The sequence below is a fragment of the Homo sapiens genome, chromosome 11 (assembly GCF_000001405.40).
Source record: "Homo sapiens chromosome 11, GRCh38.p14 Primary Assembly".
NCBI classification, from domain to species: domain Eukaryota; kingdom Metazoa; phylum Chordata; class Mammalia; order Primates; family Hominidae; genus Homo; species Homo sapiens.
Genome location: NC_000011.10, coordinates 6,495,586 through 6,522,120, shown reverse-complemented (window position 1 = coordinate 6,522,120; position 26,535 = coordinate 6,495,586). Strand labels below are relative to the sequence as shown.

At 42.7% G+C, this 26,535-nt stretch overlaps 1 protein-coding gene across 2 annotated transcripts in view; it reads right to left on the bottom strand.

Annotated features, from left to right (window-relative positions):
- The window catches only part of DNHD1 (dynein heavy chain domain 1), a 74,741-nt gene extending 49,900 nt beyond the window's left edge, over positions 1-24,841 (bottom strand). Inside the window, exons 1-10 of one of the 2 annotated variants that reach the window (NM_144666.3) lie at positions 24,790-24,841; positions 24,454-24,536; positions 23,160-24,350; positions 19,195-19,368; positions 13,038-13,241; positions 12,849-12,959; positions 10,692-10,848; positions 2,267-2,521; positions 2,019-2,156; positions 1,832-1,883 (exon numbers count right to left, since the gene is read on the bottom strand). In NM_144666.3, the coding sequence (NP_653267.2) occupies positions 1,832-1,883; positions 2,019-2,156; positions 2,267-2,521; positions 10,692-10,848; positions 12,849-12,959; positions 13,038-13,241; positions 19,195-19,368; positions 23,160-23,905 (1,837 nt within the window). In that variant the 5' untranslated portion in view covers positions 23,906-24,350; positions 24,454-24,536; positions 24,790-24,841. Of the gene's footprint in view, positions 1-1,260; positions 2,157-2,266; positions 2,522-10,691; positions 10,849-12,848; positions 12,960-13,037; positions 13,242-19,194; positions 19,369-23,159; positions 24,537-24,789 lie in introns of those variants that run through there. The other variant, NM_173589.4, reaches the window with a different exon arrangement.
- Between the last annotated feature and the right edge of the window lie 1,694 nt (positions 24,842-26,535).

Sequence of the window (26,535 nt, the reverse complement as noted above, 5' to 3'; positions counted from 1 at the left end):
ACAAGCATATGAACAAAAGCTCAATATCATGGATCATTAGAGAAATGCAAATCAAAACTTTTTAATTTTTTTAAAGAATTTAAGGACAACAGAACTTCAGTTCTGGCTAGGCACAGTGGCTCATGCCTGTAATCCCAGCACTTTGCAAGGCCAAGATAGGAGGATTGCTTGATGATAGGAGTTCACGACCAGCCTCGGCAACATAGCAAGACCCCATCTCTACAAAAAATTTAAAAATTAGCCAGGCATGGTGGTATGTTCCTGCAGTTCCAGCTACTTGGGAGGCTGAGGCGAAAAGATCACTTGAGCCCAGGAGGTTGAGGCTGCACTACCACACTTCAGCCTGGATGACAGAGTGAGACCCTGTCTTGAAAACAAACAAACAACAAAAAGAACTTTGGTTTTGATTACTCAATTATATGAATCTGATTTTCCATTCAGATCCTTTTTTTCTTCAAATTTTGTAGAAAAGTTTAAAGAATGGTACTATGAATACCCTTATCCATCTACTTAGATTCAACAATTATTAACATTTTGTCACATTGCATTATTTGTTTTTCCTTCTATCTTTTCATTCCCCTAAACATTTTGAAGGTAAGATACAAGCATTATGACATTTCACCCCTAAACATACCAATCCGTGTGCTTTTTTAAAAGTAGAAGGGACAACCTAAGACATGGTAGGTGAATATTTTCAGCTTCACTAGAATTTAGAATAAAAATGCAAGAGGTTGTTTTTTGCTCCTTTTAACCATTCAAAAAATACTACAGCATATTTATAACATGAATTAGTACCACATATAATGAGAAAATGCTGTGAAATGTCTGATTTATCTACATATTTAATACTAATAATAGTAAGAAGGCACATCTGTAGCATGTATTTCTATGTGCTGAGCACCATACTAGACATATTATCTCTTTTAATCTTTAAAATAATTCTTCAGGTTAGGTATGTTTGTTATTCCCACTTTGCAGACTAGTAAACTAATGAGTCTGACTCCAGAGCCTTTCTTCTTTCCACAGCACCATGTAAAACAAATATCAATAGTCTCTATCAATTAACCTAAATTTATTTGGAGAAAACAATGTGCCCCAACTGGTGTATAATTTGTAAAAGACACAGGTTCCTTTCAGTGAACCTTTTTGCTCCTTGTCACCTATTCCCTAAAATTAACGTTATGTCTTTAAATCTTCTTAATGAACAGATAGAAGTTGAATGAGGAAATTAAAAAGTATGGACGAGTCAGATGTGACTGATTGCATTTAATGATTTTATTTGTGACAGCATTAGTATCCTAAATAAGGGAAATGTGAAGATGTGTTTCCACGCTGATGGTTAATAAGTGTGAAGACTGATAACCAATAATAATTGGTAACCATAAAATATTTCAATACAATGAATTAATCCATATGAAATGAAAAAGAGCTATATGACATAAAGCAAGTGTTGAGCAAGCAGAGCTCTTCAAACAAGTACAAATTTACTTAGCAATAAAATTCAGTAGTAAATGAAATGCAATTATGGCACTGGAGAAAAACCTCACAGAGTTTGGGATGAATCAGGTTTGGAAGGACAATGTACTCACACTCTTTCATACACCCTCTCATTGCACGCACATACACATAACCACGTGAATTTGTGAGCAAAAACATTCCCTGACCTTTCTACCCACAACACATATGTGCAGTACCCAGGTTAGAGCTGCTCCATCCACACCCAGTGCCTGACTCTATAGCCTGGACCTCCTGCCTTCTTCCCATGCCATTAGTACTTGTGCCCTTTCCCTCCTTCAGCCTTCCTACCCCCTGCCTAGGTCTCCCTAAATACCTTCAGAATACAGGGAATCCGAGGAGGTCTTCAGGTCTGCAGACTGCACTACCTTCATGCCAGGATATGGAGAAGGGGCAGAAATGGGAAAGCAATGAGGGATTCAAACCAGGTTGTGAGCTTCTGATTACTCAGAGGATAGGAACTGGGAATTCCCACAGCCAGCTCTCTGCCCAATTCAGAATACCTGCAAGGCAGAGGTCTTGACAGACTGTAGGCCTCCAGTTAGAGTCTGGATCATATTTTCAACACAGGGCACATGAGACAGTTGACCATGATCATCAAAGACCAGCTGTGATGAGAGAAAGGGTTTCTGCCTTGGGGCCTGTAAAAAAAAGGGTCAGGAAAGGTCGAGGGGCTAGATGTCAGTATACATTCCTCAGCATCTGGCCCTGGACTGCCTGCCACCTCCACACATGCCACCCACCACCTCACTTGAAGGATGTTGGCCACAAAAGAGGTTATCTGCTCTTCCAAGACAGAAATGAGGCTCTGACAAATCATGTAGTCAACCAGGCGGGCAAACTTTCCCAGCTGCAGCCACCAGGCCTCTGCTTGCTTCAGCTTCTGCTCCAGTTGCTTGTGCTGTACCCTCTGAAGGTATATGGAGCCTTGGCCTGTCCTGATCCTGTCACAGTTTTGTACTCGCTCCTGTAGGCACTGTTGCATGTGGTATGTGTCCTCGTGAACCTGTGAGCATAGAGTGGAAACTCACCAGATAGGGGGATGGAGAGCAAACCAGCCACCCACTAGTCTGTGCAAACTCTCAGGTCTTGGAGTCTGGGACCTAGAACCTAGATATACATATGGAGGGCTCCTTTTTAGTAGAGTTTACCCTACCCCACCCCCTCAAATTTTATTTGACCAGAGAAGATGTGAAATAGAGAACATATATTGAGAGGTCACAGTGTGCTAATGTGGTAGGCCAGGCCTGTCTACTGAAAACCCCCAGGGTGGAACTCAGAAAATTTGTGTATATGTAAATATAGAGGTTCACAATGCACAGAAGAGACAAAAAGAAAAAGATGGGATAAATAAGGCTAAACAATAATTTCAGGATATGGACTCTGGATAATAATTAGGCTAGGTGATGTGGCCTGCTGAGTAGAATGATATTGGTTTATGTTATAATAGAAGCTGTTTCTGGGCACTGATATAGACTTTCTATTAGAGGAGAGGGAATGTGGAATAAAAGCCTGGGAGCCTTTTTGTGAGTTCTTTCAGATCTGGGAGGTTCCTCAGCCTATAAAGGCTGCTGACAATTGCCAATGCTCTGGGCTTTTACTGTTGAGGAACAGAGAAGAGGTACCAGAAAGCTATGCTTGGCCAGATGGATCCTTTGTCTTCCCTGCTTTCCTGTTCCTTTTGATGCTCCCTAGAGCTTGTGATTAGAACTGATTGGTTCTGTGAATTGTACTTCTGGTATCCATGAGCTCAAGCCCCAGTCTTCTCAGACCCAAGCATAAGACAGTTAAGTCCTAAGCACGGGACATCATATACAAACATGCCCTATGCATAAGATGATTTTGTATATGAGACTAAGTGAGATGTTTTCTTCCATGTTCTAACAATACTCCCTAATACCCAGTGCTTCCCACTTCATAACCCTTAGTCCAATGCACCATCATTTTGTTATTTATATAACTCATCCACTACACTGTAAGCTCCTTTAGGAGGCGATCTCTGTTACACCTTATTTCATTTTTCTATTGCTTGACACAGTGCCTGGCATGGGGTAGTTCCACAGTAAATGTTTGTAAAAAGAATGTATAATCTCACATTGAAAGAGCCTACTGAGTGCCATTAGGATAAAACCATACCAACGACAACAATAATAATTGCTAATACCATAGAACGTAATCAGTATACATTTTTAAAGCACCAATACTAGGGGTGATAACAGCCAAATTATGTGAAAAAAATGTTTAGGATGGGCACAGTGGCTCATGCTTGTAATCCCAGCACTTTGGAAGACCAAGGAGGGTGGATCACTTAAGTCCAGAAGTTTGAGACCAGCCTGGGCAACATGGTGAAACCCGATCTCTGCAAAAAATACAAAAAATTAGCCAGGCGTGGCGGTATCAACTGCTGTAGTCCCAGCTACTCGGGAGGCTGAGGTGGGAGGATCACCTGAGCCCGGGAAGTTGAGGCTGCAGTGATCCCTGATCATGCCACTGCATGGGCAACAGAGTGAGATTCTGTCTCAAAAGTAATGATAACAATAAAAAACTTGGAATTCTATACCTAGCCAGAATATCATTAAAGTTTGAGGATAAATAAAAACATTTTTAGATATACAAAGACTCAGAAAATTTTCCATCCACAGATTCTCCCTTAAAACAATTAGGAATAGTATTAATATATTCCATGCAGAGGAAAATGAATCCAAGAGGATAAAGTATTCTACAAAAGATTTGATGGGCAAAGAAATTTGTGAGACATATTGTTAATTTTAAGTAGTGCTATGGCCTGTGTGTTTGTGTCCCTCCAAAATTCATATTTTGAAATCTGAACCCATAAGGTGACGGTATTATGAGGTGGAGTCTTTGGGGAGGTGATTAGATCATGAGGTCTCCAGTCTCAGGAATAGGATTAGTGCCCTTAAAAAAAAAAAAAAAAAAAAAAAAAAAAAAAAAAGAAGTCCTAGATCATACAGTATTTGTCTTTCCTTGTCTGGCTTATTTCACTTAGCATAATGTCCCCAGGTTCATACGTGTTGTCACTAATGGCATTATTTCCTTCTTTTTGTGACTGAATAATATTTCATTGTATATATGTATTAATATCACAATTTCTTTAATCATTCATCCATTGATGGACACATCGATGTTTCTATATCTTGGCTATTGTGAATAATCCTGCAATAAAAATGGGGGTATAGATATCTCTTTGAGATACTGATTTCATTTCCTTTGGGTATATACACAGAAGTGGGATTGCTGGATCATATGACAGTTCTATTCAAAGGGTTCAAACTTTTAGTTATAAGATGAACAAGTTCTGGGAATCTAATGTACAGCCTGTGTGGTGATGGATGTGTTAATTAATTTGACTGTGGTAATCATTACACAATGTATACATCTATCAAGTCATCACATTGTACACCTTGAATATATTCCATTTTTATTTGTCAATTTTATTTTTAAAAGGCCCCAGAGAGCTGGCTAGTCCCTTCTGTGGTGAGAAGGTGCCACCTATGAGGACTGAGCCCTTGCCAGAGTCTGAATCTGTCATCACCTTGATGTTGGACTTCCTAGCTTCCAAGAATAAATGTTTGTTGTTTGTAAGCCACCCAGATTATGGTATTTTGTTATAGAGGCCTGAGTGGACTAAGACAAAGGAGTAGGTTATAAAACAAGAATGTTCATAACAATCTTGAAGAAGATTCCAGGAGATACCAATATAAGAGTAATGGGAAGAATAGAGGGAGGAAGAGAGAAGGGAAAGGAAAGTATGATAATGCTAAGGTTCTTATTCTGCTTGGGAGAACGATATGGTTAAAAATTCATACTTGTCATTCATTCACTCAACAAAAATTACTGAGCACCTACTAAATGGCATACCCTACAGTAAGCACTAGAGATATATTAGTGAATGAGTGCTCAAGTCATTGCCCCTCCAGGAGGAGGGAGAGAGACAGCAAACATAATAAATACATAATTTATGGTGTACATAAAAAGGTGGTTAGTACTGGTGGGGCGAGGTGGCTAACACTTGTAATCCCAGCACTTTGGGAGGCTGAGGTGGGCGGATCACGTGAGGTCAGGGGTTTGAGACCAGCCTGGCCAATGAGGCGAAACCCTATGTCTACTAAAAATACAAAAATTAGCCAGGCGTGGTGGTGGGCACCTGTAATCCTAGCTACTCGGGAGGCTGAGGTAGGAGAATCACTTGAACCCTGGAGGCAGAGGTTGCAGTGAGCCAACCAAGATTGCGCCACTACACTCCAGCCTAGGCGACAAGAATGAAACTCCATCTCAAAAAAAAAAAAAAAAAGTGATTAGAGTACTATGACAAAACAAAAGAGAGTGAAAACATGTATTTTAAAATGAGTTTAAAATATGATTTTAAAATACATGTTGCAAAAACTGAAAGAACAGCAAGCAGAAATGAACAAATCTATAGTTGTAGGTAGGAAGGGATATTTAACATATACCTCTCAGAAACTGAAAGACAATGGAGGTTAAAAAATTATTGTGTCTTGGCTGGGTGTGGTGGCTCATGCCTATAATCCCAGCACTTTGGGAGGGCGAGGTGGGAGGATCACTTGAGCTTGGAGTTCGAGACCAGCCTGGACAACATGGTAAAACCCTGCCTCTATAAAAGAAATACAAACATTAGCCAGGTACGGTGGCCCATGTCTGTAGTCCCAGTTACTCAAGAGGCTGAGGTGAGAGGATGGCTTGAGCCCAAGGGGGTGGAGGTTGCAGTAAGCCAAAATCATGCCACTGCACTCCAGCCTGGGTGACAGAGTGAGTCCCTGACTCAAAAAAAAAAAAAAAAAAAAAAATGTGTCTATAGAATATTTGAATAAAACAGTGAATGAGCTTGGCCTAATACATATTCTTTTAGGTTGAGTTCCCCAGAAGCAGACCCTGAGACAGGGATTGGGAGAAATGTGATTTATTGAAGGAATGATCTTCAGGGAAACAAGAGCCTCTACAGGAGTAAAAAAAAAAGCAGAAAAGAGAAGGGGAAAGTACCCAGCAAGATCTCAGCTAAATTCTATTTTTGGTCTCATCTGGAGTGGGGAAGGAGGCTTGGAATGTTCCAATCGTATTACAGAGTTGTCATGCCTTGAAGCAAGTAAGGAAAACACAAAGGCTGAGGAACTGTTCCATATAAGAGAGACTAAACAGAAGTGAGCACTAAATTCAATACATAATTCTGGTTTGGATCCTGAAGAACGAAAAAATATAGTAATAAAGGACATTATTAGAACAATTGCCAAATTTTGAATAAAGATTGGAGATTAGATAACAGAGTTGTATCAGAGTGAAATTTCCTAATCTTTGATCATTGTACTATAGTTATAAAATGAAATGTCCTCATTCACAGAAAAAACATACTGACATATACAGGAGTTGCTATGATTTGAATGATTTGAATGTGTCTCCCAAAAGTTAATGTGTTGGAAACTTAATTGCCATAGTAACAGTTTTAAGAGATGGGGTCTTTAAGAGGGCTCAACCCACATGAAGGGATCAATGAGCTAAGAGGGCTTAACTCACATGAAGGGATCAATGTTCTGATCATGGGAGTGGGTTAGTTATCATGGGAATGGATTCCTGATAAAAAGGATGAGTTTTGCCTGATTTCCTCTCTCCTCTCTCTGTCTCATATTCATGTCTCATCAGTATGTGATACCCTCCACCATGGGATGAGACTCTCGCCAGATGCTCTTGGACTTCCCAGCCTCCAGAACCATGAACCAAATAAACTTTTATTCTTTATAAATTACCCAGTCTTTGGTATTCTATTATAGCAACAGAAAACAAACTAAGACAGGGGTAAGGGGGCTGATGCCTTCAATTGACTCTCAAATTATTTAGAAAATAATGTATACATGTTTATAAAAAAAGAGCATAAATGATAAAGGAAATGGGAAAAATAACAATCTATATAAAGGGTATGTGAGAGTTTATCTTACTATCTTTACAATTCTAATAAGTTTGAAATTATATCAAAATACAAAATCACAGAAGGAAGGAAGGAAGAGAGGGAGGGAGGGAGGAAGAGAGGGAGGGAGAGAAAAAGGGAGGAAGGGAGGAAAGAAGGGAGGGAAGGAGGGAGAAAGGAAAGGAAAGGAAAGGAAAGGAGGGAGAGGAGAGAGAGAGGGAGGGAAAAGAAAAAAAATAAGTGTTGGTGAGAATGAAAGGCAACTGAGGCCAGGTGCAGTGGCTCACACCTGTAATCCTAGCACTTTGGGAAGCCAAGGCAGATGAATCACTTGAGATCAGGAGTTCAAGACCAGCCTGGCCAAGATGGTGAAACCCTGTCTCCACTAAAAATATAAAAATTAGCTGGGTGTTGTGGCTCACACCTGTAATCCCAGTTACTTGGGAGGCTGATGCAGGAGAATCACTTGAACACAGGAGGTGGAGGTTGCAGTGAGCTGAGATCACACCACTGCACTCCAGCCTGGGAGACACAGCCAGACTCACACCTGTAATCCCAGTACTTCGGGAGGCTGAGGCAGGTGGATCATGAGGTCAGGAGATTGAGACCATCCTGGCTAACATGATGAAACCCCGTCTCTACTAAAAATACAAAAAAAAATTAGTCGGGCGTGGTGGCAGGTGCCTGTAGTCCCAGCTACTTGGGAGGCTGAGGCAGGAGAATGGTGTGAACCCGGGAGGCAGAGCTTGCAGTGAGCCAAGATTGCACCATTGCATTCCAGCCTGGGCGACAGAATGAGACTCCGTCTCAAAAAAAAAAAAGAATGAAAGGCAGCTGGAAATCAGCATCACTGATGGAAACGTAAACTGGTACAACCACTCTGGAAAACTGTTTGGCAGTATAAAACATACATATATTCTATTCTAGCAGTTCCACTCCTGGCATATATATCCCAAAAAAATAAATGCTTATGTCCACCAAAAGACATGTACAAGAATGTTCACAGCAGTGTTATTCATAATAGTAAAAAACTGGAACCAACCCAAATGTCCACAATAGAAGAATGAATATATAAATTGTGGTCATTCATACAGTGAAATACTACGTAGCTATACAAAAAGAGTAAACCACTGCTACCTAGAACATTACGGATAAATCTCACAAACATAATGTTGAGTGAAAAAAGTCAGGCAAAGAGGAGCACACACTGTCCAATTCTAGTTACATGAAATTCAAAATGAGACAAAATTAACCTGTGGTGACACAGGTCAGAGTACTGGTTACCTCTGCGGGGGTATCAATGAAAGAGGCACCAGGGAGCTTGCTGGGGTGCTGGAAATGTTCTCTATCGTGATCCAGGTATACAAATATATAGCAATACAAATACAAATGCAAAAAATTCAACAACTTTACAGTTAAAATTTGTCTACTGTATATGAATTATACCTTAATATACAAAATTGACTACTGAATTTCAAAAAGTTATAACTATTTTTATAACATTAAAGGTGGGATTGAGGAACTGAGAGGTAGAGAAAGGCTGTGGAGCAGCTCACCCCCATCTCCTGCCTCATTCAGCTTGGTACAATGGCAGGTCCAGCATTTATTGTCTGGAAGCTAAAGGCCACTGCCTCCTTTTCACTCCTGCACCTTGGCTTTAGGATCTTGACATTGCTAATGCCTTTGGCCCCTTTCCTCTAAACCTCCTAAAGAGAGACTATGAATTTCCTTTTTTAGCCACTCTTCTAAAACATCCAAAGAAGATATCACTGAAGAGTCCAATCAGTGCAAAGTCGTAAAAATGCAGAGGCTCTTTGTGTAAAGACGTTCAATAATATCCCTAGGTTCCTGGGATACATCAGTGAACAAAACAAAGATCTCTACCCTTGTGGAGGTTACAACCTATCATGAGACATTAGTAAAAATAGTAAGTAACTTATATAGTATTTTTAAAGGTGAGAAGGAAGACAGAAAAAGGAAAACAGAGTAGGATAAAGAGGACAGGTAATTCTTAGAAGGGGAAGGAATTTGACTATTTAAAATTTTATGAAAATGTTTTATTACGGGTATTTTTAAATATTTAAGATTTCAACCAGAGCAATCAACAGAAGTTATTGGTTCCTCCTAGGAACAGAAATTCCTTGCAGTCGGCCAGGCGCGGTGGTTCACACCTGTAATCCCAGCACTTTGGGAGGCCGAGGTGGGCGGATCACAAGGTCAGGAGATCAAGACCATCCTGGCTAACACAGTGAAACCCCATCTCTACTAAAAATACAAAAAAAATTAGCCGGGCATGGTGGTGGGTGCCTGTAGTCCCAGCTACTTGGGAGGCTGAGGCAGGAGAATGGCGTGAACCCGGAAGGCAGAGCTTGCAGTGAGCCGAGATCCCGCCACTGCACTCCAGCCTGGGTGACAGAGCGAGACTCCGTCTCAAAAAAAAAAAAAAAAAAAAAAAAAAAGAAAGAAAAAGAAAAGAAATTCCTTGCAGTTGAGGCCATTTTTGAGACTTCAGAGTTCTGTCCTTTGTGATTAACCTCCTCTGATGGAGTTTAGAGCAACATGTAGAACCCAAAACCTGGCTCAAGCCAGGCAAGGTATGCCTCCTTCACATTAATTAGTTATTTTCACAAAATCTGAGTGGGCCTCCTCTCTCAGAACCGGACTATCTACACATGGTAATTAGCCACAGTCCTGTGTGAATATCCAGCCCCACCTGACAACAAACCATGATAATAGACCATGGGCAAGAGGTCAGTACACAGGAGGGCCTCCCAGAACTCTAGGCAGGGGTTGTGCATCACAGATGCAACATATGCATAATTAAGAAGGACTCCATCATTGCATCCTTCCACTAACTACAGTGGCCTTCCAAAGGTTCAAGATAGGTTCAAAAATAAGCTCAGCAGCATAAAAGACCAGGATTCCTGTTCTCAAATTCCCTAATTCCCAAAGGTCAGCATAAACAACAGACAAAATAGACATTGATACATTCCTTCTCCTCCCTGCTCCTAGGTCAAGATCAACCCTTAGGGAAAGGTCTAGTTCAAGCCTCTGCACACCTGTTATTGATTCATCCATCCTAGAGCAGAAACTGCTGTTGCTGGGCAGGAAAATGGCTCTGATTCAACTGTAGAGTCCAGGTCATACAGTGGATTCCAGGAGAAACTTAACTAAGAGGAGGCTGAAACTCTGGGGAGCTCAACTTGGGGAAGAGGTCCACAATAAACTAAGAGCCTCTTACCAGTCGAAGAATGGATGTGCAGAGGTTTAGGCAACGATGGAGCAGCCGTAGAGCCTTATGCTTCTCCTCGGCTAGAGCCGTCTGCAGGTCCAGCAGCTCATAGCACCGATCCAGTTCCTGGGGTAGCCAGGACACAGAGTGTAGCTCCTGCAGAAGCCTAGAATCAAGGACTAAGCTGGTCAGAGCTGGCATCCCAATCCTTCCTTGGATACCTTTGACCTCTTCTCAGCCTAGCTTACCTCAGACTGCACAAATATTTATAGAGATTGTAATATTACCAACAGTGACCAATAGTGACAGCTCCCTCTCGAGAGTTCTCTGAAAGAGTATAAGCCCATAAAGCTGCTTTCTCAGCTATACAAGCTGAGAAAAGGCTTGGGGTATGTGCAAGTGCTTATACCTAGTGATCTCTCTGCTAGAAGAGAGGGTCAAATAGATACCAAGGTCTGACTTAGAAGGAGAGACAGCAGAGGCTTCTTCCTTGGAATAGAGAAAGCTAAAGGTCCTAAAAGTCTAGGTGGACAGGTAAGTTTTAGGATCAAATGTGATGAAACTGGAACTTCTCTGTGGGCTGCCCATCCCTGAGGAAGCCCAATCCTGTTATCCATACCTCCCAAGCCCCAGAGAACTCCACAACTGTAAACATCCTTGAAAAGGATAAAGACTCCTAATAATCAGACAGGATGGTCACAATGGGCATCATTTATTCAGTGTCTACTGAGAGGTACTGAATGTGGCACTTTGTATTCACAGTGTCGTTTAATTCTCATTACAGAATTAAATCTAGAAATCTTTATCCGAGTTTGAAGATCAGGAAACTGAGGCTCAAATACTAAAGTCCCTTGCTAGTACTCAAGGTCTAAATAAGATTTGTCCCGTCTCCCAAGCCCTTATGCTCTTAATTACACCATGATGATTAGGCCAGACTGGAGGATGAAACTCCCTAGAGCAGAAGTTACAAACTGGGTTAAATTCAGATGGAAAAGTTTTTCAAAATGAGTCACTAAGAGTTGGCTAGCATACAGTGTTTTAATAAAAATTTGAAGGTCTGGTGTGGTGGCTCACGCCTGTAATCCCAGCACTTTGGGAGGTCGAGGTGGGTGGATCACCTGAGGTCAGGAGTTCAAGACCAGCCTGGCCAACATGGCGAAACCTTATCTCTACTAAAAATAAAAAAAATTAGCCGGGTGTGGTGGTGCATGCCTGTAATCCCAGCTACTCAGGAGGCTGAGGCAGGAGAATTGCTTGAACCCAGGAGGAGGAGGTTGCAGTGAGCCGAAATCGCGCCATTGTACTCCAGCCTGGGCGACAAGAGTGAAACTCCATTTAAAAAAAAAAAAATTCTTTTGAGTTAAAATTTGGTTGAAATTTGAGTTAAAAGTGAGAAATTTCATAACAAAATGTGGATTTCTAGGAAATCCTGAAATGTAAGGTAGCTGATCACACTGGACCTATATTCCCAAACAGCAACAATTAGTAATTAGTTGGAACTGAGTAGTGACTATCCTCTTTAGATGCAGTCTCCAGATTGCAGTTCCCATGCTCCCTAATGTCTTCCACCTAAACCACTGCATTCCTTCAATACTTCCTGCTTAGGCCCTTTAGGCAACTGAATTTGCAACTCCTGTCACAGAATATACCTAAGAGTAGCTGAGGAGTCATGTAGGGAAAGCAAGGAAATACTGAAAATAGGAATAACCAACCTTTTCCAAAAAAAAGAAAAATAGAATCCAAGTAATATCTTGGAAAGAACACAGAGTTTGGATTCAAACAACTGAATTAGACCCCCAGATCTGACATTACACATAATTACGTGAGTGCAAGTGGTTTAAGATATATAATTACCTGGAGAATATTGCATATATTCTCCATAGAGAATATATTCTATTCATGAAATAGAATATAATCTAGTTCAGAATATATGTTCAAAGAAAAAACTGGTTATTTAACAGTATGTAAGGTATGATCACATTTTGTGTATGTGATAGAAAAAAGACTAGAAAGATATGCAACAAAATGTTCATAGTGGTTGGTAGGATTAAAGGTTTTTTCTTAGTGCTTTTTTGTATCTTTCAGATTTTCTACAACAAACATACTATTACCTTTAGTAAAACTAATTTTTAAAAACTCAATGAAGTTGTGTTTTTAATACCTCACCTGCTAATATGGAGTAGCCCAGCTCCAAAGTGGGGCACAGCCAAGAGCAGATGATTCTCTAGGAATTTCTGGAGTCGATGCAGCCCCTGTAATCTCACATTCTTCTTCCAACTAGAAATTAGAGGTCAGTGATAATATACTGTTGCTGTCATCCATTTCCCCCCAAATCACATATCCGTCATTACCTACCAGGTAAAGGACTTGCGTAAGAGGCAATACTTAAAGAATGGAATGAACTGGAGCTGCTGCCAGAGAACACAGTGATGGTGCCAGGTACCCAGTGTCATCGTCTCGCTACCTTCCACAGGATGTACATGCAAGATCCCAAAGGGAGAGAAGATGTAGTGCTCGGGATTCACCTTGTCGGGTGGCACCACCATCAGGCTGTAAGGCCTTTAAAAAAAGAGCTCTGATCAGTGAAGGCCCTGGGAACGTGGTCAGACTTTAAGAGACCAAAGGAGGATACAGGAGATGAAAAAGGGGAACAGGAAGGCAGGCAGAAGAAAGGAGAAAAAGGGGCAAAGAGAGCAGAATGATTTTTAAACTAGAAAGATGAAACAAATATTATTAAGAAGAAACCGAAGCCAAAGGTAGATGGGAAGAAAGAAAAAGGCACCTAGCCAGCTCCAAGAAGTTCATATCTTCAAATGCAGATATCTTACATCCCATCAGATCTAAGACACTGTCCACCGTAAGCTGCAGCATTATCTTATGAAATGCTAAGATAAAAATGCTTCTAATAAGATATTCCATCAATTTGTAAGATGCATCACAATTTTAGAGATGATGAAATGTGAAAAATCCTCATTCTAGACATGATAAAATACACATATACTTGGGTACTGAAAGACATGCAGAGACAATCAGAATGTTATTTGATGGAAAAACTGAGATTGGAGAAAAGCAGAGGAAGACTAGAAAATTCGAAACAGGCAAATAAAGAGGAAAATTGCAACCTAATGTACTAGACAAGTACCTTCAGAGCCATCTTAAAATCTTAGTTGGTCTTGGGTTCTCTTACTTCAGCAAAATGCACCTATATCCCACATTAAATGCAATATATATAGATTGATATAATAGGTGTATCTAGTTACAGTAGGCCAGTTAGCATAATGCTATGTTTAGATACATTTAATAAAGCATTTATTAATTTTTATTTTTCAGTTTTCTTTATATAACTCAGAGCTAGCAATATTTTTAAGCATTACATATATTTTTAGCAATTTAAAAGCTGTATCCTAAGTCCTATAATGTCTAAGAGATAAAATAGCTCTCCTCTATCTCTCATCTCTCTCAACTTTCTAGAAAACATTGTTAAGCAAGTGACTTAAGAACTTTTAGATAGATACCAGAATGGACACACTAAGTCAAGTCATACAAAAACCTTGTTTTGTTTTTGACAAAGTTACTAAAGTTTCTTAAGTATAGTACTCATATCCCCAAATTACAGATAGGAAAACTGAAACAAAGAGAAGTTAAAGCTTTGCCCAAGACAGTTAAGGGAAGAATACAGGATTTAAAACCAAAGTTACCTGACTCATGCCCCCTCCTTTAATCAGTGGGCCATTTAGCTTCCCACAGTGTAGCTGCCTATGTTAACTGAGCCCTGGCTCTTCCCAAGAGATATTTCCTTTTCCTATGACCTACTTAATGGAGGCTGCTGTTTCTGTGTAGGGCCAGGAGTTATACAGTACTCTTCTCATTCCCAATGGCCACTACTCCTTTGGAGTATAAAATATACTCCAAATATATATGTAATGCTTAAAAATATTGCTAGCTCTGAGTTATATAAAGAAAACTGAAAAATAAAAATAAATGCTTTATTAAATGTATCTAAACATAGCATTATGCTAACTGGCCTACTGTAACTAGATACACCTATTATATCAATCCATATGTATTGCATTTAATGTGGGATATAGGTGCATTTTGCTGAATATCCTTTGGAGGATATTCACTCATTCTACAAATGCTTATTAAGGCAAGCAGTGTGTAAGCCACTGAGGATACAGCAGTGTTCAAGAAAAATCCAGTCCCTGACTTTATGGAACTTAGTTAAACCGTTTATCAAGTTGTCCCTCTGTTCAAGTATTGTGGTCAGAGATGGGGACATAAAGATGACTTCTACATAGTCCTTGTCCTCAAAGGGCTCAGAATCAACTGGAGTATGACATGATACTAGAGAGTAGATGGGGGAAATCAGTATCTTCCTGAGTCCCAGAACCAAAGATTCAGCTGTTTCCAAAACATCTCAAACTCCATCTTGCTTGCACCTGAAACTCAGCAAGTTCTGTACTAAACTCAATATCTACCCCCACCAAATCTGTCCCTAATCTGGGCAATTAGTTCACTCATTCATTCAACGAATATTACTGAGTATCTACTCTATGCCAGACTGTTCTAAGCCCTGAGGATACATCATTAAACACAACAAACCCAAACCCCTCCCTGATGGAGCTCTCATTCTACTAGAGAAGATGATAAACGTAATTAACAACAGGAAGGGGGAAAAAGAACAGGCAAAGGGAGATTGGCGGTGCCAGGGGAGAAGGAAGTGCAATTTTAAATGGGGTGGTAAGGGTGGGGGAGTGACAGCTGAGCAAAGACTCAAAGAATAAAGGAGGTGAAGGAATAAATTCTCTCCTAAATGTAAATCAAACACTGGAGAAAATGCAATTAAAATTTTGATAAATTCAAACACATTAAAAAAATCTGTTACATGGCAAATAAATAAATATAATGAAACAGCAAGTGAAAGAGTTCTATTGATGGTGCACTAGAAATTTGGACCAACATTCCCACTTGATAACAACTAGAAAAACTAGGCCAACTATCTGGATAATATATGAAACTGGATAATATATGAAATATAATATCTGTATAACACATCAGAGAACCCAAAAATGTAATCCCCCAGCCTTTGGGTCGAGACCCCAAATGGCTACAACACAGGAGTAAAGTGGAACCAGAAATATACCTCCTTTTTGGTATGGGACCTGAACTGCAACTTTTGCTCATTTAGTTCCCTGAGTCTGTTGAAAGCTTGGCTCCTCTTTTCAGTATCTCAGGAATGCATAGTAAAATTGACATTTAACTACCTTTATATTGAGAGGAATTGAGAGGTCCCTCTGTTTGGGGAAAAGCAGCACCAAATGCTGAACTCACTGCAATGGGTTTCCTTCTTTGGCAGATCCTGGCCCTGTAATCATCCATTGCCTTTTTAGTTCTCTTGTCAATAGTTTCTTATCTCTTTATGTGCCTAACTGTCTTTGATCGAGATGCTTCTCTAATTATAAAAGATGCTGATAGTTTAAAGCCCTAAGCTTGTCATTTGCTTTCTGTAAGCTCCCAACTATGGTTTGTAGGCATTCCATCCCACATTGTTACCATTACTATCATTACAGCCATGACAGTCAAGTGTAGCAGCCACTAGGTGTCAGTATCACATTCAACCACAAGTGATAATTTAATTAATTGTGATGCCACTGTGTGTCATGGATTACTAGTATCCTATTTCCCATTAGCAAGGAATTCAGTACTGTTTTAGGCCAAGGACATTACCAAACCAAAGAAGATCCTATATTAGAGGCTAGTTTCCTGGGACCACTCATAATACCAAGTACCGTGTTAGTCAGGGTCCAGTCAGTAAAACAGAAACCATACTAGGCATTTCAACAAAGTGAATTTAATAAAGAGAATGTGTTTTTAAAAAGATGTCGAGGCCAGGCGCGGTGACTCACGCCTGTAATCCCAGCACTTTGGGAGGCTGAGGTGGGTGGATCACTTGAAGCCAGGAGTTCGAGATCAGCTTGGCCAATGTGGCAAAACCCCGTCTCTAATAAAAATACAAAAATTAGCCAGTCATATTAGCAAGTGCCTGTAATCAAAGCTACTTGGGAGGCTGTGGCAGGAGAATCGCTTGAACCTGGGAGGCGGAGATGCGGAGATTAAAGTGAGCCAAGATCGCCATGGCACTCCAGCCTAGGCAACAGAGTGAGACTCCATCTTAAAAAAAAATAATAAAAATAAAAATAAAAAACCAGCTCCAGAACTAGAGGAACAAATGGAAGAGGTTCAGGTTATTAGAAGCTATGAGGTTGGAGGAGGGGCCTTGCAGAGTTGAGACTCAGAACTCTGAATGGGGCCGGGTGCAATGGCTCACGTCTGTAATCCCAGCACTTTGGGAGGCTGAGAAGGGAGGATAGCTTGAGCCCAGGAGTTCGAGACCAGCTTGAGCAACAAAGTGAGATCCCATATCTACAAAAAATTTAAAAACTAGCCAGTCATGGTTGTAGGCACCTGTGGTCCCAGTCACATGGGAGGCTGAGGTGGGAGGATCACTTGAGCCCAGAAGGTGGAGGCTACAGCAAGCTCTGTTCAAGCCACTGCACTCCAGCTGGGGCAACAGAGCAAGACTGTCTAAAAAAAGAACAACAACAAAAAGAACTCTGAAGGAAAGGGGCTACCAGCTGGTGTTGGTATCTCTCAGGGTTATGAAGAGGCTGATTCAGACAGTGCTGGCTGGGCCAGGCACGTTGGCTCATGCCTGTAATCCCAGCACTTTGGGAAGCTGAGGCGGGTGGATCACTTGAGGTCAGGAGTTCAAGACCAGCCTGACCAACATGATGAAACCCTGTCTCTACTAAAAATACAAAATTAGCCAGGTGTGGTGACACATGCCTGTAATCCCAGCTACTTCAGAGGCTGAGGCAAGAGAATCGCTTGAACCAGGGAGGTGGAGGTTGCTGTGAGCCGAGATCATGCCATTACACTCCAGCCTGGACAACAAGAGTGAAACTCTGTCTCAAAAAAGACAAAAAGAAAGTGCTGCTGCCAGGGTGAAAGACCATTGCTGAGGCAATGATGGCAGAAAGAGCAAGCAAACGAAGCAGCAAGTCCCTTCCCCTCTTATCTTGCTGTCCAGTCTCCCAGCACTCTCCATTAATCAAACCTAATAGAAGGCCAGCTGAAAAAAGAGAAAAAGTTTGCAGAATCTCAGCCCCAGTATCACAAAGCAGAGAGGGAGGAGGAGAATTAGAATCAAGAGGCAATCAATTAATAACCAGCAGGATGCTCTCAGTGAACATTTATTAAATGAATTGATCAGTAAATGAATGAATGATATTGATCATTAGTGCTACCTAAGTTCAAGAGATCAGTGTGCACAGGAAATAAGGTTATTTGGGAGGCTGTATTAGATACTGCTTAAGAGCATGAACTTTTGGATTAAGATAGTCCTAGGTTTAAATCCTAGTTACACCATTTATTATGTAGCTTTGGATAAATTACTTAACCTCTCTTATGTATCAGTCCACTCATCTCATATATAGAAATAATAATAGCACCTACCTGGTAGATGAGGATTAAGTAACACATGTCATGAGTTTATTAGCACAATGCCTAATATATTGAAGAGTTTGGTTAAAGGCAATTATTACAATTATTTCTGGGAGGAGATGGACTTGAATAGGGCTTTTTAAAATAGGCGAGGATTTGAGCCAGGCATGGTGGCTCATGCCTGTAATTCTGGCAATTTGGCAGGCTGAGGCTTGAACCCAGGAGTTTGAGACCAGCCTGGCAACACAGTGAGACCTCATTCTACAAAAAATAAATTTTAGAAAACTGGCCGAGTGTGGTGATTCATGCCTGTAATCCCAGCTACTCAGGAGGCTGAAGTGAGAGGATTGCTTGAGCCAGAGAGATTGAGACTGCAGTGAGCCATGATTGTGCCACTGCACTCCAGCCTGGGTGACAGAGTGAGCCCTTGCTTCAAAATAATAAGAAGAAATTTTTAAAAGTAGGTGTGATTTGGATCTAATGAGAGGAAGTGAATAAATGTCTCTTGAGTCATGGGGAAGGAGGAGACCTGTTTTTATAGCCCCATAGATAAACTAGAGCCAGGAGGTAGAAGTTAAAAGAATGCAGATTTTGATTCAGTCTAAGGAACAAGATACCTGGAAAAAAATTTTCCTGACACTGTAAAGATTTAAACAAACACATGTTTCTTCCATTGGAGTTGGAATAGATCACCATAAAATTTACTTCTAAGGCTGTGAACAAATGTTTCTATCATTCTAGGATAGAATAAAAAAGAAAGAGCAAAATGTGAGAAAAGGATGTGTAAGACAAAAGGCTGTGTAAGCAACAGGGAGTGAAGGGGAGGTAGAGAGTGGAAAGGAGGAGGAGGCTGAGGAGAAGGGAAGAGAGAGGGACACTAGAGTCAGAGGAGGAGTATGTGGAGAAAGGACAGGGAGAAGGGTGCGCACGTGGAGAAAGAGGAGGGGGAAGATAGCATAGAAGGAAACCAGGCAGGGGGAGGAGAAGGGGCCTGGACATAGGCTATCACCTAAAGTACCGGCTGGGAGCCACATTGAGATAGAGGAAGTGGATCTTCTTCAGGTATCTCTCCATCTTCAGAGCAGTCATCACCTGGCTATCCAGGAAGGAAGTCTCAGGTGAAAAGCCGGTGCTGCTCTTTTGGAAGGCCTTTTCCCTGGGAACTTCATAGTCAAGCTGAGACCTGTGTGACAGAAAATCAGGAGAGAAAAGGCAGAGTAAAAAGGTCAAGTACCTTAGAGGGAGGCCTTGCCACTGTTGGCTAGTGAAAGGAGGACTAGATCAGGTGCCTGAGGAGACCTGACGTGGCATTGTCGAGCCTGACTACCATCTATACTCAAAGATACCACATACTGGGCAAATATAGCGTATCATAGAACACAGTTAGGCAACAATATTGACACAAACATGTGTGTGAGCAACCTCTCCCTTTCTGATAAACAAATAATCATTCTGGATTGATTGGAATTACCATGAAGTCAGTATTACATAATACTGTGTACAAATAATGGGAAGACTTTATTTTCCCAACTCATTGCTCTGTAAGCCCACAGTACTGGATTTCCCCTCCCAGCTCAACCTTCTTGGCCTTTCAGATTTAATATCCTATCTTTGATTCCATTATACCTGCTTTCCAACCCTGAATGATCTCCATGCCTGTTACATTTTCTGCTCTTCCCCTACCATCACCCAACCTCTAGCTTCATATTCTTTCCTTTCCTGCCAAGATCCAATGGTGGCCCCCTCAAGCCTGCACCAATACACTCATCCTCTTACTCTTCTGCATTCTGGTCAACAAAATTGGTATGGAAATTAGTTACCAATAACTCAAAAGTGAATGACTAATAATTTTTAGTTGGGGAGACCTGAGAGCACACACACAAAAAAAACTCTGGAATGATTTAACTTAGACTTAGCCAGTCAGAATATACCAGTATCATTAACTGACCCAAACTTAGATCAACACAAGTTTCCCCAGGGATAACAGTGCAATCCTATTCTAGAATTCATATCAACAATATGGTTTATAACCTTTATACATATGTCCTTGATGAACTGTTGTGTTGGATCAGGACATCTTAAATGGTATAATTGCTCTTATAGGTTCATTTTCTCAGCAAAGTCCTATATTATATAGTATATTCAGAAGATCGCAAAACCAAGGACATTTGCTCCTCTACGGGTTCCTGGTGTCCAATCAGCTGTGGGCTCATTCTGCCTGATGTCTTCACACAAGTCCTCAGACAGCTACCTCTTTCAGGCCTCTCAAACTGCTATCCCTAACCCCATGCAAGCCCTGCTGAGCTCCCAGTTCCATCCCATTCTCTGTCTCCTTCTCTGCCTGGAGAAAGCTGAAGTTTTCAGCCATTAGCCAATTCCCTCAACTTCAGTTGCCTTCCCCCACACACTTATCTGTCCCCCGATTTCAGAGGAAGAGGTATCCTTTCTTCTCTGTAAGATTAATTCCTCCATCAGTGCTCTGGACCCCTTATTCTCTATGATATATTTTTAATCTACTCTTCTTCTTACCTTAGTCTATTTATTCATTTAGTCTACGAATATTTATTGAGCACCTACTTCTCAAGCACTGTGTTAAGGGATATAAACATCTCTCTATCAAAAAAAAAAAAAAAATCCCTACCCAGACACCAAAATTCTTTCAAGCTGCTGCCCTGCTATTTGTCTTTTCCCTTCAAGCTAAGCTTCACAAAAAAAATCGTAAAATGCGATTTCCACTTCATCTTCCATTCACTCCTCAATGCACCACAATCTAGCTTCCTCCCCACAAAACTTAACCTCTTCCTTGTTACTACATCCAATGAACATTTTCATTCTTCTTACTTGTCTCATTTAACATGTAATACTACTGACTGCTCCCTCCTCCTTGAAACTCTGTTTGATGTTTTTGTTAATCTAATCTAGACTTGAACACTCCCCCCACATGCTTTCCCCCTAACTACACTCCCTCTCTCTCTCTCTCCCACCTGCAGAGAAGCAGCCAGGCAAAAGACAGTATTCTTTTGTTTTATAGCACTTATTACAATTTGTAATTATATTTTACTTGTTATCAACTTAACTATATCTCCCTAACTAAACTGTAATACCTCAAGTGAAGGGATTGAGTCTGTCTCATTCACTTCTGTATCCCTAGCATCTTGCAGATCCTAATAAATGTAGCTATCCAACACTTATTGAATGAATGAATGCCTGGCAAACCACTCCGGGAGAACGTAATGCAAATTAAGCCATATTAGCTAGACCTCAGAGGTTTACTGCCAGGTTCAAAGGGAGGGCAAAGAACTTGATCCCTTCCCAACATCTCAGCCCATGCCAATTCAGTCAAGTTCTCCCAGGAAAGGAAACTTGTACTCAAGGCACAGGGCAGCTCTTTGAAAAAGGAAAAGATTCCAATAGGGCCACCATAAATTTATGGCATTGGCCACCTCCCATTAGGGCCCCAGGAGCCTGCCTATCTATCTAACATTAGGCTTTAATGGAAAGACTTGACCCAGCCATAAACTTACAGCAAAAACTGAGGAAGCCAACCTTAATTAAAGGTAAAACTAGCCTTCTTCCCGAACAGTAAATGTGCCACAGACAGCTGCAAAGCATTGTCTAGAAAATGAGGCCAGAGGACAAGGAGAATTCCAAAACTAAAGTTAAAAAACTCTCTTGGGCACGGTGGCTTATGCCTGTAATCCCAGCATTTTGGGAGGCCGAGGTGAGCAGATCACTTGAGACCAGGAGTTGGAAACCTAGCCTGGTCAACATGGCGAAACACTGTCTCTACTGAAAATACAAAAATCAGCTGAGCGTGGTGGCATGAGCCTGTAATCCCAGCTACTCGGGAGGCTGAGGCAAAAGAATCGCTTGAACCTGTGAGGCAGAGGTTGCAGTGAGCCAAGGTCAGGCCACTGCACTCTAGCCTGGGCGACAGAGTGAGACTCTGTTTCAGAAAAAAAAAAAAAAATCGAAAGTTAGAGAACGCTGAGAAGAGAAGGTCTCTGTAAGCATTCTGAAATCCTGTAGAGAGCTCTGATAGCCAGATATTTTAAAAAAGAAAACAATAGGGCCGGGCGCAGTGACTCACGCCTGTAATCCCAGCACTTTGGGAGGCAGAGGTGGGCGGATCATGAGGTCAGGAATTCGAGACCAGCCTGGCCAACATAGTGAAACTCCGTCTCTACTAAAAATATAAAAATTAGCTGAGTATGGTGGCACGTGCCTGTAGTCCCAGCTACTCAGGAGGCTGAGGCAGGAGAATCACTTGAACCCGGGAGGCGGAGGTTGCGGTGAACCGAGACCATGCCGTTGCACTCCAGCCTGGGCGACAGAGTGAGACTCTATCTCAAAAAAGGAAAGAAAGAAAGAAAGAAACAAAAGAAAAATATATCACTCAAGGGGCCAGAGTGCCCACACTGGCAGGGCAAGAAGAAGACTCTGGAAGGGTCAAAATGAAATTCTATCCAGTAGTGCTGCCAACTCCACTCTGCCTTGGAGCCGGTTTAAGTCACATAGACATGTGGGAAGGACACTCGGACACACATTCCCCAGGGGTACCTTGAGGGAAAGACCCAACATCCAGGAATCAACTCACAGTAGGCCCAGGCAATGTTCAGTGATTATGAATGAATTATAGAAAAATAATTAAGGAGACTTCTGACATCATCTAAGAAAAAAACCTGGAAACTGAAAAGTCAAGCTGTTATTCTAAAGCTTTGGCTGCCTCATAGCTGACTTCTGATTTTCATTAATTTCTGTATTTCTCTATGGGGATTAAGACTAACACCACTGGGTTTATTTTGCAGAGAAAAAGGAAGAGGAAAGTAGCCTCACACTAGCTTTGTGTGGAGTTGGGCTAATCCCTGTGATAAACAGAGAGCTGGATCTAAACTTCCAAGTGACCCCAGAGGCACCCATAAAACAGCAACTTTTTCTCCTCTGCTCAAGCCCTAGACTGAGTCCCTCACTTACCTGGTCTCTTTTCTTCCAACAGGCTCCACCTCTGCATTGTCAGTGTCACTGCTTTCATACCGTACAGGGATGTCCGCTGCCAGTGCCAAGGGAAGGAGACTAAGTCCATCCAGCCACACAGCCTCTTCTAGGGCCACCTGAGCACCAACAATGCCCAGGCAGCGCTGTAGCTCAGGCAGTGTCAATGGTCGCAGCCAGGTGGCCAGCTCCTCCTTTACTTGCTGCCTGCTCCACTGGGCCTGCACAAAAGGGCAAGCTGGGCATGGGGGCCTGTGATGGAGCCTCCGCTTCTGGGGACAGCAGTCAGCATGGGAAGCACTGTCTAACAAAGAGCTGTCTGGAGGAAAGGCCTGGACAATGGCACCTAGCAGGTCCAGATGGAGGTGGGTTTGGACCCAGGGTGCCCAGCAGTACAGCTGCTCCAGGAAGGGCAGCAAATCAAGGTGGCCAACTAGCAACTCACGATATGGAGGCAGTAGACCCAGTACTGCATGAAGATAGCGCCAAGCTGCAGGGCTACTGTCCTGCAACACAGCTGAGAACAGAGTTCGGAGCTCAGCTAGCAGGAGTTCCAGCACTGTGGGCTGCTCTGACTCAGTCACTGGCTTCACGAACTGCCTCTGTTTCTGCTGGCAGGCCAAGGGCTGTTCTTTGCTGTCCAAGACACATATGGAGTGCCAAGACTTAAGGGAATCAGATGATGTCTCATCAGAAGACAAACCTACCCTCCTCTCCTCCGGGACCATGAGGAGCTGGGCATTCAACTGCTGTCGAAGTGACCTTGCCCATAGCTCAGGCTCCAACTGCCAGTTCCAGGATGCCAGATGCGGGGCCTCACCTGCATGGGCCAGCCCAGCAGAGGGGCCAGAGAAGGGACCTCAGGCTCTGGGCAGGGGATGGTCAGAGTCAATGGGGTTAGGAGGAAGAAAGGACCTGGGACAGGGAAATAGATGGAGCTACAGAGCAGAGCCAGACCAGCAGAGAGCCTTTCCTGAGACCCTCAGGCCCTCCCTACTGCTTCCCCAAAGACTCTGGTAAGGAGCAGGCCTAAGACAGACGTGAGAGCCCTCCTTGCAGAAGAGTTCCTTCTTACCTCCCAGTACCCTGTCCCCCTCACCTGGCCTAGGGGGGTTAGGAGGCAAGGCAAGGGAAGAGAGCCCGATCTGCTGATGAGGTTTCATTGAAGAGTGCCTGCTGGAGCAGTGAATGAACTTAGACTTGAGTTCCAGTCTGAGGCTCACCCTAATCATAGCCACCCATACACGGAGAGACTCGCACACAGACGTGCAATCACCTGAAGAGGCAAACTGACACACCGACAGAGCTCACTCTGAACCTCGGTCACAGCAAGGAATCTGCACTCGAGCTGGCGATCGCCTGAAAAACGGGTTAACAGGTCGTCACTCGAAGGCAGCAGAGCCCCAGTCCCATGACGTCTTCGCCCACAGCCTAAGGAGGTCGTGAAGACAGAAAGCCGAGGAGCAGGCACAGCAAATGATGGTCAGGATGCAGGTAGGGGAAGACGTTAACAGGCAAAGGAGGGGGCTGGGAGAGCGGGGAAGAGGAGGCGGACTCTGTGGGAGGGGGTCCTAGGGAACAAAGAGAAATGGATCCGGAGCCGAGGACTCACCCGCAGCTCCACCCGCACCCAGCTGTTAGAACCGTTACAAGATTCCAGAAGGACCGAGTCTTTGCCAGGAGCATCCGGGGGAGCCAGAAAGAGGAGGGGCCAGGGTCCGATATGGGCGGGGCCGAGAGGGCAGAGCCCAAGCCTGGAGGGGCAGAACTAGGTTCAACCTGTGGGCTAAGGCTTGCCTGGGACAGGGACCTGTAGAGGACCAGGCGGGGTCTGAACTGCACGTGCAGTACGGTTGACTCGGGAGACTAGCAATCCAGAGGGTGTCGTAAGCAGGTGTTTATATCCATTCGCTGAGTATCTAAACTAGTGCCAGGTCTTTGGTATGTCTTTGGTACTCCCCCATCCCCACCCCCAACGTATCCATCTACCCTATCCCACCTCCCCAAAAGAAGCCCGAATAAAACAAAATCCTTGATCTCAAGGAGCTCAACATCTATTTGGCACGGGGGGAGGGGGATTTTTTGGGGAAGGGCTTATGGAGGGGCTAATTTTTAAAAATTAAGTTGAATGAGGCCGGGCGCGGTGGCTCATGCCTGTAATCCCAGCATTTTGAGAGGCCGAGGCGGGTGGATCACGAGGTCAGGAGATCGAGACCATCCTGGCTAACACGGTGAAACCCTGTCTCTACTAAAAATACAAAAAAATTAGCCGAGCGTGGCGGTGGGCGCCTGTAGTCCCAGCTACTGGGGAGGCTGAGGCAGGAGAATGGCGTGAACCCAGGAGGCGGAGCTTGCAGTGAGCAGAGATCGCGCCACTGCACTCCAGCCTGGGCGACAGAGGGAGACTCTATCTCAAAAAAAAAAAAAAAAAAAAAAAAGTTGATGATTAAAATAAAAAAAGAAATTCAGCCCACCTCTCCTCTGAAATCAGATTAGTATATCCAACTGCCTACTTAATGTCTCCACCTGGAGAGCTTATAGGTATCTCAAACTTAAAATGTCCAAAAGCAGGCTCCTAACCACCCTTTCCCCACCAAAGAAATGCTGCTCCTTTCACTGTCTTTCCCACCTCAGTCAATGGCAAATCCATTCTTTCTGGTTTCTCACACCAAAACCTTGGAGTCAGCTTTGAGACCTCTTCCAAACCCCTTCTTTCTCTTTCCCTCTTCTTTTTCCCTTTCTCTTTCTCTCTCTCCCCCTCCCTCCATAAGTAATCCTTCAGGAAATTCTGCTGGTTGTGCCTTCAGAATATATCCAGAATCCAACTATTTCCCACCATCTTAAGTACTACAACCTTGGTCTAAGCTGCTATCATTTCTCACCTGGGTTTTTCCACAGCCTTTGAACTGTTCTCCTTGCCTCAGATCCTTCTCATGCTTCTCACCATTGCCCCTACAATCCATTCTTTTTAGAGCAGCCAGTGATCCTTTTCAAATATAGGCAGATCCTATAACTCCTCTGCTCATAGCTCACTAATGCCCCCTCATCTAATTCCTTCAGCTGAAGGCCAAAGTCCTATCATGGCCTACAAATTGCTGATAACTGCCTGCTACCTCTGTAGGCTTCTCTCTTCACATTCACACTCTACTACTGCTGTGCCTGAATCACACCAGCCATACCCCCACCTCACAGACTACATACAAGCTGTGCTGTCTGCTTGTGTATCAGTTAGGAGATACACAAGTTATGACTGTTATTTATTTATTTTTTTGTAGAGACAGGGTCTCACTATGTTGCCCAGGCTGGTCTCGAGCCTCTGGCCTCTAGCAATCCTCCCACCTCACCCCTAAAGTGCTGG